This window comes from Homo sapiens, chromosome 3 (assembly GCF_000001405.40).
Source record: "Homo sapiens chromosome 3, GRCh38.p14 Primary Assembly".
Lineage (NCBI taxonomy): Eukaryota > Metazoa > Chordata > Mammalia > Primates > Hominidae > Homo > Homo sapiens.
In genome coordinates, this window is record NC_000003.12 from 68909339 (window position 1) to 68924085 (window position 14747).

The following is a 14747-nucleotide window of genomic DNA, read 5'->3' on the forward strand; positions in this document are numbered from 1 at the left end:
ACAGCTTAACAGTTACAACAATATCAATTCTATGAGGGCAGGACCTGTCGTCACCATACTCACCACCTAGCACCTAACACAGTGCCTGGCACCAAGTAGTCCCTCAGTAAATATATCTACTGAATGAGTGAATGGCTCAATCAACCCATGAAATAGGAAACTGTCCAAATGGAACATAAACACCTCAAAAGACTATGAATTCCCCGCCTCCCCAATCTGGAGGAGCCCCAAGGAGCTGGCTGACAACTTGCTAGGGATACTATGGAAGATCCAGGCTCCACCAAAAGGTAGCTGGACTAAATGGCCTTTAAGTGCTTTCCAGATCTGCTAAAAGCCTTTTGCCTCTACTATCAGATGGGACTGGGTTCAAATCCTGACACGTAATTCACATGACTGTGTTACTTATCTAATGCTGCATAATGGATTATATGCACTTAGTGACTTCAAGTAATATACATTTGTTATCTCACAGTTTCTTTGGGTCGGAAGCCTGCGTGTGGCTTATCTAGATGCTTTGTTTAGGGTCTCAAGAAGCTGCACTCAAGGCACTGGGAAGGCCTGCTTTCTCACCTGGAGGCTTGGGGGAGGAAGACTTCCATACTCACAGGGTTGTTGGCAGTATTCAGTCCTTCATCCTTGTGACTGTAGGACTGAGAGCTTCAGGGGTTTTTGCTGGCTCTAAGCCAGAGGTTAAGCTGTTCCTAAAGGTCACCTGCAGTCCTTTACCACATGGGCATCCCCAACACACACATTCACTTCTTCAAGCCATCATAGAGTCTCTAGAGCTAGGCAGCTAGCAAGGCAGAGTTTTATATAACATAATCATAGAAGTGACATCCTATCACCTTTGCTGTATTCTATTGGTTAGAAGCAAGTCAGGTTCCACCCATCTCAAGGGGAGGTGATTATACAAATGTGAGAACACTCAGATGTGGGGATCATAGGGGCCCACCCTGGTATCTGTCTGTGACAGTGACCTTAGCAAGTCACTTAACACACTCCAGCTTCTCATCTATAAAAATGAGGCAACTAATAGTACAGTGGAATCATGATAGGCACCCTAAATATGCAAACTCACTTTAGGATGTAACCAGAGTCAGGTCTGTCTCCTCAATGGCATTGAAACCTCACAACAACAAATATAGTAAGATAGATTTAGGTTAAAGAGGCTTAAGATTAAAAGAGAAGCGAGCCAACCCTTTAAGCCAGAGATATACTTAAGAATTCTCAAGCCATCATCCACTCTATAGAACTTTGATAGAAGCAGAATTCATTCAACATTCATTTATTCAACAAATTTGAATGCCCAGACTTCTGCACGTAGACATTCCTTTTGTTCCTTCCTGTGGACTAGCTCAGCAATTCTCAAACTTTAGGGCTAAGAATTGTTCTGCAGGGTTGTACACAAAAATATTTTATGGGATTTTGCAGGGAGTTATTCTGACTATATACGATTTTTCTTTGCATAGTTCAGCACCAAATCTCATGTGCAATCAGATTCCATTGTACCAACCTCATAGGTTTGTTCTAATAAAACATCAATAAAAGGTTAACACAATGCTTGGTACTTAATTAAGTGCTTGATAAATATCAACTCTTACCTCCTATTAAACTACAAAGCATGTAAAAAAGATATGATAGATTTTGCCTGAAATATTAGTTCATTTTAATTTTGCATTCTCCAAAAGAGGGTCAAACTTTGAATTTTTCTCTTCTGCTGAATTTACATTTCAATAACTGTAGCCCCAAAACATGTTAAGGGCACGGTTCACATTCAAACAGCTCGCTGCTGAAAGCAAAGACACTGCTGACGTTTGGGAGGAGAGCAATTATGCCAAGCCAATCGATAAAATGAACTGTAAAGATGAATCCTCCATGATCCATTTTTTTCCTATAAAAGACTGCATTTGGAGACTTAACAGCTTTCCCCCATGTTTCTATCATCTTCTCGTAAGGCAAAGACAAAACATCAACCACAGAAAGGTGCTGTCCAATTAGAATCAAATGTTCTTTTCCAAGAGATTTACATTCCCTGTGTATTTTGATGGAAAAGACACTAACAAAGACTTATGTGTCAAGCACTGTGCTCAACAAGGTCCCATGCTAGCTCATTTACACCTCACACACCCCAGGTGATGGGTATGATCAACTCAGATAGAGAAACAGAAGCTGTGAGAGAGGTTAAATGATTTGCTCAAGGCCACACAAATCGCCCAAACCAATCATTTGTTCAAAAAATATTTGAGTCTTCTATGGGCTGGACACCACCAGCCACTGCATGGCTTATACCTAAATCGGAGAACAAATCAGGAAGGGAGACACAAAAATACAAGTTCACCTGTAACCATGAGTTAGCAGGGAGGGGATAAGGAGGGAAAACTGCTTAATTTAAGTCGGTATGTCAGAAACGGTCAAACAGAAATAAAATGCCACAAACCTTCCTAGGAAGGGTGTGCATACGTTTGGGTGTGCGTCAGCCAGTGGGGCTGCCAGGGCTCAAAGCTCTTATTAGTGGTAATACGTTTCCGACCCACACGGAGGGCTCTAGTGCCCAGATCATCAGCCCAAGCGCTGGGAAATCATTTCAATTCTCCACACCTCACCTCCGAAGCATCACTCCCCTCATAAGCCCCCTTGGATCAATGCTTCATCCTCTGCATTCCAGTGAATCACTGATCCTTCTCCATTCTTTGGGTCCGAGCTCACAGAATATTTCCTGTACTTTCGTTCTGTTTTTCACCTGACACCACCCCGCAACTCACTGGGAGAGTCAGTCTGTTATTTTCCCCATTGTCTGTATCCCACGAAAGAGGAGCCCACTCCTAAAGGGGAATATGAGCCAGTTTTGCTTTTCTACACCTGCCGGGGCCCCTTTAATCATGAAACCACAGGGAAGACCTGAAAACCAAAATCCCCCTTCCACTTTTACCAGTCTCATCTAATCTGGGTCTTTTTATTTGCTTGCAGAATAGTACATCAAAAGAAAGATTGGGGAGAAGGGGGAAATAGCCATGATTAAAAGACTGCTGCAACTCAAGGACAGAACCAAAATGTTAGATGCCTGACTTCACTACTGGCCGCTAATTAAATGCAAAACAGGAACATTAATTTGAAATGGGATGAGCCACACTATATTGGGTTTTTATTTTTTGCTGCAAAATGAGCCGCCCCTTGGCTCCCTCCCCGATCCTGCCGTGTTTTCGCAGTGTTGGGGACCAGATGAGCGAGCGAGCGGCATGCCGTTAATCAAGTCTTACTCATCTGTGTGTGCCGCTGCATTCAAAGAGAATTAATAACGGGCTTAGCTGAAAACCGGGAGGACCAAGGTGCTGCTGGCTCCTGTTCAAGTGCTCCCAGATTCATGGCTGTTCTTTTAAGCCCCAAGAGATCAAACTCAGTTTTACTTCTGTGATAGCTTGAAAATTGCAAAGCCCCAAGAATACCCTCTCTGGGGCTTCAGAAAACCACTGGAGAGCAACAAAGTCAAAAGGAAAAAACTGAGTTTTCTAGTATTTTCCTCTAGGTGGATGTTAATAAAAAGTAAGATATAGATTTTACTCTAAGGCTCAAGGTATTTACCCAGGTTCCTGAATAGAGCATGGCTGCTGGAAGAAGTGTTACTGAAGGTGATGTGGGGGTAGGAATTCTGCCCCAAAATATTTCCCCAACTGGGTTATACTATTAGAGATCAATTCTTTGGGGTTCTTTAGGAAATGCCTGTCCTAGAGGAATTAACACGAAAAGACTTTCAGCTGCTAATTCATTTAAACTGCCCTAATTACTTATATGAATAACCACCAAAATAAATAATGAATGCAATGGCTGCTTCTACCTAATGAAAACTTCCTGTGTCAAAACACTGTGCTGTGTGCTGTACATGCATCTTCCATCTAATCCTCACCTGTTATTTTCTTCCTTTTACAGAGGATACCTGAAAGAGCTAACATTTTTTTGCCCAGGGTTGCACAGATAGGACTCAAGCCAAGATTTAAATCCAGGAGAGTGACTCCAGAGCCAGTTTTCTAAAGGCCACCCAGTTCCACCTCCTTGTATACCCGGTGGCTGGGCGGAGTTGCAAAATAAAGCTGGCCATCAGGGAACAGAAAGGAGGGCATGGAGGAGGTGGTACCGCCAGCTAGGGCAGCAAAGTGCCCAAGAAGAAGCGGAAAGATGTGATGGAAGGGGCAGGGAAAGGCTGCCAAAGACAAAATGTGTTTTATTTAGCAGAATGGTTAAAAGCAGAGCCTTTCAAGCTGGACCACCTGGGTTCCAATGGCAGTTCAAGTCGTGAGCTGCTGGTATTCAATTTACAGTGCTGTTTGTTCCTTGCTTGCCTTCTCTCCAGCATGCAAGTCCTACAGAATGAGAACCATTTGGAGAAATTATCTGTTACTAATCTGATCAATGTCTGAAAGACAGTCTCAATTAGAGACAGAGAGAGAAAGAAATTCGAGCTCTAGAACTCACTAGGTGTGACCCTGGCAAAATACCTCATCATTCTATACCTCAGTTTCCTCACCTATAAAATGAAGACAATAATCCTACCCAACCCAATTAAGTGTGTTAATACATCTAAAGGATTTTAAATAGTGCTTGGCATAAAATAAGTGCTATATGTGTGGTAGCTATGTTTTCTTTTAATTATCAATTCTGGCAAGAAGTAGTCCTGACTCCAACAGTCTGAAAAAAACAAGGAAGTGCAACAAAAATGAGTGCTTACATCTGCCAAAAACATGTATGAGAATGTTCACAGAAGCTTTATTTCCCTAGCCAAAACCTAGGTGAAAAAAATAGATGTTCAACACTAGAATAAAGTAGCCTATTCTTACAACGAAATACTATGCAACAATGAAGAAGAACTACTGTTACAGGTAACAGCAGACATAGAGTTGGGCAAAAAACTTAGGGAACAATATAAACTATATATTTCCATTTATAAGAAGCTGTCAAAGAGAAAAAAGTAAGTTCTACTGGTAGTGGTGTGTATGACTAGGAGGGTTACAAAGGACCAATCTGGGTGCTGGAAATTCTGCATGCTATGTGAGTTGTGGTTTCATGACTATGTACCTATGTGAACATTCACTAAGCTCTAGTAATTAAGATTTGGACACTTTATTGTAAATTGCACCTCAAGTTTTTTAATTAGCAAAAGGTATTAAATCAGTATATGTGATGTGACCTTATGTGTAAAGTTAGTAACTAAGAGTTTTAAAGTTTATTTAAATTGTGATGCATTCGTGATGCACTTCATCAATTAAGCTACAACATCAAACTCGTTATTAAGATGAGACCAAATATGTCTACTTCAATTAGCATATTTAATAAATAATGTAGTAAAAAAACCATGGAAGCGGTGTGCAAATTAGTGACGTTTGGACTTCACTAGACTATGGAGAAGTGGGCACACAGTCCTTTATTCCAGCAGGGATCAACAAACTTTGTCCATGGGCCAAATCCAGCCCACTGCATGGTTTTGTACACCCTGTAAACTGAGAATCGTGTTGACCTTCCCAAATGGTTGGGGGAAAAAAAGAATAGTATTTATTGATACATGAAAGTTAAATAAAATTCATATTTCAGTATTCATAAAATGTATTAGAACATGGTCATGCAACATTCGTTTACATACCATCGCAGGCTTTTTCCCACTATAACAGTAGCTATAACAGAGTTCATGGGGCCACAAAGTATAAATATTTACTACATAGCCATTTATAGAAAAAGTTTGTCAATCCCTGCTGCTCAAGTGGATACCTTTCATCATTGTCAGTGATGCGGTCCCATGAAGTCACCTCCCTGTTCTAATTCTTTCGTACTAAGAGGCTATTCTCAAATACCCACCATGATTAATTCCTTGGCTCCAAATTCTGAAGCCCAGTGAGTGTCTAAGCTCTGAGTTCTTAGGACAAGCTCTGGCCCAATGGCAACTAGAACACTATTACAAGATCTTTGCCAAAAAAGACAATACAATTACAAACTATCACAAGCAAACATTATGAGTTAGTCTCTTGTACCACATTGAAAAAGTGTCCTTTTTTTCTGGAATTTTTACTGTGCTCTCAAGTTAGTTCTTGCTTTAAAACCAACCAACTGTAGAGTCCTCTTCTATGTTTTCAAGTCATTACTGCATCTTTAAAGTAGAAACATTTAGGGTCATTGTTGGACATGTACAGACAGAAAATAATTGGGCTGCTAATTAGGTGATAAGAAAATTTAACTCTCAAAATGGTGATGGAAGATGAATTTTCCCACCTCTGAACTTTCAATAGGCTTCAGAATTTGGAGCCAAGAAGTTAATCATGGTGGGTATTTGACAATAGCCTCTTAGTAAGAAAGAATTAGAACAGGGAGGTGACTTTATGGGACTGCATTTTTTCCTCCACATGGGAATATCCTTCCTCCTGTCTCCATTGTAGCTAAATCTCCCTAACTAAACTGATAGTTCACTGAATATGAAATCCATATTAGAATTAATAATCATACCCAGCCCACCACTTTGTGCAAAATGGGCACTTAAGATACATATGAAGTGAAGAAAAATTTATAAGAGAAATTTCTATCTCCATTCAATAAATATGGAATTGACCAAGATATGCTGAATTTATCTGCTCATCTCCTTAGACTTTAAGTGACTATTTTTCTATCTGCAAAGGCAATAACTATTTTTGACAGACAAGTTCAAAACCTACCAGTGTGAATGTGTACTTTTGGAAATAGGGTAAATACCTTACAATTGTGAGAAATTCTTTCTTGTGGAATGCTGTTTAAGAAATGTTGTGAGGTTCCCACTGACTCCATCTAATGTTAATCATTTATGAAATACTGTGGTTCAGAGCTCAGCAAGTGAAGTCATTTCAGGCAGTAAATATACGTTTCCTGTCAAAACATATCAAACGGATAAGACTTCAATTTATTTGAGAATAAGTTGTAACTCACTTCAATATTGGCAATTTGGAGGATTCTCTGATGGCTTTTAATAGCCTTGACAGTTTTCTTCTTCTTGCCCCCAAACCACTGAGTATCTCTCCATTTGATCCTTCCCAGAAATGGCCCTCAGTATCTGTCTTCGTAGTATCCATCCCTCCAATTCCAAATCCGTTGTGTGGTTTCCTTTCCCATCACTCGGATTTTACAGAACTCAAGTTAGATCTACATGTAACTCGAAGTATTCTGGATTTACAGATTATTACCTCATTAAAACTAGGTCCCAACTTCATTTATGACTGCATTCTGCCTGTATCATTTCACCCCACATGTAACAATGCCCTAGAAAATAAAAGCTTTGATACAAAAATGTTGTTCTTTTTGCAAAAATTAAGCCTAGTGGTAGAACGGTCAAGGCAGGTACTTCAGCACCACAGAATCACCAGGGCCTCAGGCAGCTTCTGTCTTTCTGTTCTGCCTTTTTCCCTTCTGCCTCTTATCCTCAAGGTCACTTCATAGCCCAAAATAGCTGTTGGAGAACCAACTATTACATCACATTCCAGGACTTAGAAAGGAGGAAGATCCAGAAAGGGCTCTACCCCTGGATTTTAGAAGACTCACTAGAAATAACCACCCAAAACTTCTACATATATCTCCTATGGCTACCCTGGTGAAAGAGAGTCTGTAAAACATAGTCCTGATTCTGTACAGCTTGTGTCTTACTAGAAATCAGGGTTCCAATTACTAAGGTAGGGGGAAGAATAGATGTGACGTACGTAGCTAGCATCTCTTCCACCCTGTATTGCATATATCCATTTTGTATAGATGGACCACCAACAATTAAATAATTGAAAGAAATGTAGAAATGTCTCCAGCATGGGCCCTTTCATCACCTAAGGGAAACTTCCAGAAGATTCCACCCCAACCTCTTGGAGGGCAACTTTCACCCCTAGTGAGGAAACACTGATGTACTTCTCAGATTGGACATGGGGGTGTATTGCATATTTCCTCATCAGGTTAATGTAATGACAGATTTCAGATATAAACAGCACCTCAACTGCACTTACTATGAGACTGTGGTGGTTCTACAGTTTGAGTTTTTAGGGCTTTAAAATCTCACAGGTGTTTCTACATCATCCAAGCTCAAAGCAGAATCAGAGACCTCCCCCCCTGTGTGTCAGTGTGGAACAGACTGAAAGTTCCCAGGAACGACCGGGCATGGTGGCTCACACCTGTAATCCCAGCACTTTGGGAGGCCGAGGCAGGCAGATCACGAGGTCAGGAGCTCGAGACCAGCCTGACCAATATGGTGAAACCCCATCTCTACTACAAATACAAAAAATTAGCCGGGCGTGGTGGCACATTCCTGTAATCCCAGCTACTCGGGAGGCTGAGGCAGGAGAATCACTTGAACTCGAGAGGCAGAGGTTGCAGTGAGCTGAGATCGCGCCACTGCACTCCAGCCTGGACGACAGAGCGAGACTCTGTCTCAAAAAAAAAAAAAAAAAAAAGAAAGTTCCCAGGAACAATGGTATTTACCTAGAACCAAGTGGGAAGGTAGAAACCTAAGCTCTGAATTCAACACTTCTGAGTTTTCACTCTGACACCCAGTTTGTGGACGATCAGGACAAGTTGGTAGATGGCAACGTGGCTTCTGGCAGATCTTTAGGAGTAATGATAATGTGCGTTTATACAATGAGCTGTAGTTTTCGAAGCATTTTCACATAGTCATCAATTGGAAACTCCCATCAGTACTTTATAGCAGGCCAGATCTTTGTAGCTTTGAGTAGGTTAGGGATTTATTGCTTAAGGTTTTCTCTCATGAGACAACATTTGAGACTTAAATAATGAGAGGAAGCCAGACACACATACACACACACACACACACACACAAACACATTTCACATTCCAGGGAAAGGAAATCAGGTACAGAGCCACCGAACAAGGAAGGAACACATTCACTGTATGGTAAGAAATGAGAGATGGTCAGTGTGGTTACCTCAGAGGAAGGGGGAGAGGTCGCAAATGACACTGGAGAAAAAATCAGCGCACTGTCAACCGTCATCCTCTGACCCTACTTCTAATGTAACTTTTGCTTGTCCTACCTCCAGATAGATTTTCAACATGGGAATCTTATCCATCTTCTGCCTCTGTCATCCTCACTCAATCTACTTCTAAAAATGTCTTTCAAGAAACGAAAAAGAAGCTCTTGTTTTCATTGCAAGCTATGTCTAATTTTAAAATATATACAAAATTCCTAAATTATAAAACTTCATTTGATTTTTATTTGCTCGAGACAGGGTCTTGCTCTGTCACCCAAGCGGGAATGCACTGGTGCAATCACGGGTCACTGCAGCCTTGACCTCCTTGGTTCAAGCAATCCCCCCATCTCAGCCACCTAAGTAGCTGGCACTACATGCATGCATCTAACCATGCCTGCTTAATTTTTGTATTTTTTTGTACAGACATGGTTTCACCATGTTGCCCAGATTGGTCTCGAACTTCTGGGCTCAAGAAATCTGCCCACTTTGGCCTCCCAAAGTGCTGGGATCACAGGTGTGAGCCACCATGCCCAGCCTCTTCCATTTGCTTTAAAACCAGATTTTTATAAACTTTCTGTAACCAGCACTTTCAAATTGCAATTCACTTTGTTTTTTAAAAATACCATATACACAGACATATACAGCATCCTATTTCCTGTATACCAAGAGTAAACCTTCAAAATATCCCTCTGTAAGAACGAAATTCCAAACCCCTGCCATAGGATTCACACTTAGTAGGCCTTCAATTCTGTCACCTTCCCTGCAGCTTCCCAAGTCCACTGCTTCAACCAGTTAGGAAAAACAATTTTTAAAAAACATCTTGGCATCCATCAACCAGCATTTTCAAGGGCAAGAAAACAGCAGCGCCCAAGGAGCTGTCTGAGGTGCTTAAGGTTAATGGCTGTATTTACATAGCCATCAATTCACTTTACAAAGAACTGCCCCAGTAGGACTGTGCAGCTCCAGCAGGCAGCCCCCGTCAGGACAGAGCAGACAGGAGTCTCTAAACAAGGAGGAAAATGCCTGATAAATCTTAATGACATCGTCTTGTTTTCATTCACTTACTTATCACCTTATTTTCAGCTCAAGAGTCTCGAGCCCCTGATCGAACAAAATAGACTACACTTCCATTTCTCCATGAGTCACTCTCTAAAACTTTTTGGGACTGTAGTAAATTACAATGGCCTTACCTTTTATGATGATGCATACCTTGCACCAGCGCTGTCCGATCGGGCAGCCACTACACATACATGGCTATTTAAGTTTAAAGCTAAATTAATTAAAATTAAAGAAAATTTAAAATTTGCTTCTTGAGTCACATTAACCACATTTCAAGTACTCAAAAGTGACATGTTGCTTAGTGGCTCTCACGGTGAACAGCAAGAAGTTTGGAACATTTCCACCATCACAGGGAAGTTCTATTGAAACATACAGGAATTTGTAAGATTCTACTTACAGATTTTATTGATAATGTCTAGGACTTGACCTGTTCTGGAGTTAACATATCTGAATTCCAAGAGAACATAATGATAAGAGACTTTCTGCAGTCCCCACGTTTTCCAGACACATTCCCAAGCCACTAGTGCATTGGTGTTTTTAATGCTCTAAAACACACCCTCTGACCAGGCAATTACACTTCTACCCTAGAAAAATGCAAACACATGGGTACCAAGAGATTGTAATTATGAGAAGGCTTTAAACAGTAAACACCACATCTCAGTTAACACCATATATGACTTTGTTCAAGAATGGTATCATCATACTCTCTGTAGTAGAAAAAACTGGGAAAAATCTGAATGCCCATCTGTAGGGAAACAGCTAAATAAAATACAGTACATTCATAGTGGAACACTATATGGTAGTTAAAGGAATGAGTGAGACCTGTGTATGTATAAACGTGGATAATCTCCAAGACACCAGTAAGCAAAAAAATACAAACTATAGAATCAGATGTATAAAATGACACTACTTAAGTGAAAAAATTCACACACAAGACTGTATATTTAGTAACCATACATAACTAACATAAATAGCAAAGTTTAATATATTTTGATATTTTCACATTATACTTTTTAAATAAAGTTAAATGCCAAATATGCTTCCTATTTCTGTTGATTAGTTGGCATTGATACAAATCAACTTCAAATGATAAGAGAGAATCTACCAGGTCTTCATCAGTCCATTCTTCCTGCTCATGTTTGGATTTCTTTGAAACATAATGTATACTAAATATTTTAAATATGCGCAGAAGCCCAAACTCTTCATAGTATCTGAGAAGGGAGAGATAGAAATGGGTTGTAGAGAGAGTTAGAAGTGATTTTTACTTTTTCTCTAATTTTTTTTTTTTTTTTTTTTTTTACAACTTGTGTATTCCCTGCAGGAGTTCTACAAAGTCACTGTGACCCTGTATTATGACCAGTGGCACCACTATCCCCTACAATGCAGCCTAAGTGGCTGTAATAACACTAAGCAGCCATTCCCAGCCAGCAGACAGTACCACCCACACATGCCATGTTCTACAGTAAATCAAAGACTATGGTTTTCTAAAAGCAGATATTGTTCTTAAAAAAATTAGGACAATTTTGTTGTTTGGATGCTTCTGCTGTTTAGTCTTCCATAGAAGCCATCTCCAGCAGGGCCTTCGTCTGCCACTCAACTTGGAAACCTCATCTTCTAACTGTCTGGGGTTGAGTGCTGGGGGGACAAAGGCCAAAAGGGTCGGCAGCCAGGGAGGAGAACTGTAGCATCTTGACAGTTGGGCAGAGATGACCAATGTGAAAACCTGCCGAGGGGACAACAGTGACTGATGGCTCCTAAGGAAGTATTAGTACAAACCTAGTCGCACGCAACACCCTGCTGCCCGCAAGAGGGGATCACAGTTCCACAAACCAGCTATGTAATTAAAACACAGCTCTGGAGACGAAGGAGGTTAAATGACTCTGACCCAGTCCATCCGCTCTGCTTGGTGGTTGCCAATTCTAACCTTCCTGCCAACACCCACACATTTCTATAACTCAGATTATCTCCAAAATATTTCACAAACTTCCAATTTTTTTAAACAAGTGAAGAAAAAAAAGCAAGCTCTTTACATGTGTTTTCTTATTCAAAAGAGACTTCAGTTTGCAAACTTTTAATCTTTTTAGACAGTGCAAGACAAAGTGAAATCCACTGAAGGCTTTTCATTTAAGCAAATGCAGAAGATAATTTATTCCTCCAAGTGGCAGGAGAAAGCAATAAGCCAGGCATCTGTGCAAAACTTTCCATACCCCCTCAAGTCCTATAACTCTGTCTACAACTCCATCTTCTGGTCCTGACTAAATCTTCGATTATTCCCAGAACGAATGAAATCTTAAATCCACATCAGCTTTTAACATCTGCCGAGTCTTAACTATACAGGAACAAAAACGGAATTCCTGTATGTCACCTGCCGATAGGATTACAATTTAAATCAGACTCAAAAGTATATGGAAATTGAAGCCTTGTTTTTTCCTAGTCCAATGTAGACATCAGTCAGATGACGGAAGTTGGCAATAGGCTGGTTACATGCTACGTACAGCAAACCTGCCTCAACATCCATTTAAACAACTATGCAATTCTTATTTTAAAAGGCCTCAACTACAGAAAACACATCTTATGCTCTAAAAGAAACGTCAAGACATTATCAAAATCAGTTTCTCGGGCACAACACTGATCCAACGAACATTTAATTTGTACTTTTGGTTCAGTAATTTAAATCAACCTTCTGAATCATACTATTTAGACAAGCTTACCAACATATGACAAAATGAGAAACTCTCAACCTAATCAAAACAACCTTATTTTTATAAAAATCTCTGTATTAAAATTTTTAAACTCTGAAAAATGTATTGTGTAAGAAAGTGTTATACAAAGTGTGGTCCAAAGCTTGGAAGCATCGGCACCTCATGGGAGCCTCCTGGAAACAGAAATTCACAGGCCTCATCCCAGACTTATTGAATCACAAACTCTTGAGGTGAGGCCAGGGAATCTGTTTTAACAAGCCTTCCAGGTGCTCCAGCATTGGTCTAAAGGGTAATATTAGGAATGTCAAGAATACTGGAATTTGGGGACCGGTATACCAAACAAGATCGATCATGTAAAATCAATTTTTAAAATCCAACAAAGTTCAGAATTTGCAGAGGATCAAAAAAAAATTGCAATCAGCATAAACCCTATATTCATCTCCCTTCCTTCCTTACTTCTAAGTAAATGAGGATCATGAAACTTACATATGGATATAGTCAATTGCTTGTAAGTTCATGTCTATTTATGCTGTGGTTCAGAAATATTTGCACATCAAACCAGAATCTGAGTTTACACTTGGGATCCTGAGTCTTTTGTAGATGTGAAAAGAGTAAACTTGGAATCAAAATCTCTCGAAGAAACGGTTTTCTAGGAATCCTGCCATTCCTTTTTCTCAGGATGACCTTAACTTTCAGTCTTGAGGAATTTTTTCCTTTCCTGATTAATACTTCATAGGATGATTAGTATATTTTGTACATGTGTACATCAGGACAAGCTGGCTCATGACTTTTCCCCTACTACTGAGAACACCAGAGCTTGGTGCTCCATTGTAAAAGGATTAACTAACATGCTAGGCCAGTATCAATGGCAGAGCTTACTGGCACTGTCTGCTCCCCCAACTCACCCATGAGGAACATGGTTCTAACCATTGCCATTTTCCTTTAAAATAGCAAAGAAACCTGGCAAATAAACTACACACATCTGACTCAGGATTCCATGAGGCCCAGCTCTCCCACTCCCCTTCCCCATACAGGCTTATTTCTGGGTCTTTAGAATCAAATTAGAACACCCTGTCAGACACCTATTTGTGCAAACGTTAATTTCAAGTATATTTAAATGTCTTCACATCTTGCTATTGCTCATCACATCAAGCAGAGCTGCTTCTACTGTGTAATCACAATAATGAATAAACATGGGGTGCTTAAAAAGGACTGAGGCACCACAAAACTGATCAATTGTTAATTCTATAAAGTGACTAAACGTGCCTTCCTTTGTAATAACTCCATCAAGCTGTGTTTTGGGTGGGAAGGATGCCCACGTCCTCTGCCTACTGTCTCTGTAAAACAAAAATGCAATCATCAGTCAGATCCTACCTAAGGCTTATCTTAATCTTGATTATTTCCTCATATTGTCTCAACCCACCTCTCCCCCACAACTCCAACGAGAAGCAAAAATTGTCATGGCATTTAAAAAACCATGGGCTGCATGATTATCAATTGACAAAGGATTTGAGGCAGCACTAATATTAACAGCCTCAATAGCCACAGTGTGTATTTATTGCCTGTTATTATTTTGATAAAATACCAATTTCACAATGAACATCTGACCTACAGGAACTCCAGATCTCGGTGAAATTCCTTTGTGTGGCAGGAGGAGGACTGTTAGAGCTTCTCCTTAGGGTAAACACACTTGTTATTTACCTCTTCTTCCCAACCACGCCTGGGCCATATGCATGAGGAGTTTGTCCAACGTTTCTTGAGTTCAAAGAATGAATAATCTACTAAGAGTTGTGTCTCTGGACCACACTGCTTGGGTTCATACTGCGTCCTTGCCACAAACTACCAGTGTGGCTTCCACCCTGAGTGCTTCATTTTTCTAATGCAAAGAAGGGTGATGATTGATTGTGTCTACCTTGTAGGACTTCAGGAGAATTAAATCAGATAGCACAAAAATATTCTTAGTACAATAAAATGGCACAGCTACCATAGAAAAACAGCATGGTGGTTCCTCAAAAAATTA

At 40.2% G+C, this 14747-nt stretch overlaps 1 protein-coding gene across 4 annotated transcripts in view, besides 1 other annotated feature; it reads right to left on the reverse strand.

The window, feature by feature from the left end:
* Nucleotides 1-14747, reverse strand: part of TAFA4 (TAFA chemokine like family member 4) — a 200782-nt gene that overhangs the window by 177573 nt on the left and 8462 nt on the right. The gene's annotated exons all lie outside the window — the stretch shown is intronic.
* Nucleotides 9608-10210: an enhancer, noted in NCBI's record as "OCT4-NANOG hESC enhancer chr3:68968097-68968699 (GRCh37/hg19 assembly coordinates)". NCBI's record gives its function as "activates a minimal SCP1, AML or CMV promoter by ChIP-STARR-seq in naive H9 embryonic stem cells {active_cell/tissue: H9 hESC(naive)}" and the evidence as "EXISTENCE:reporter gene assay evidence [ECO:0000049][PMID:30033119]".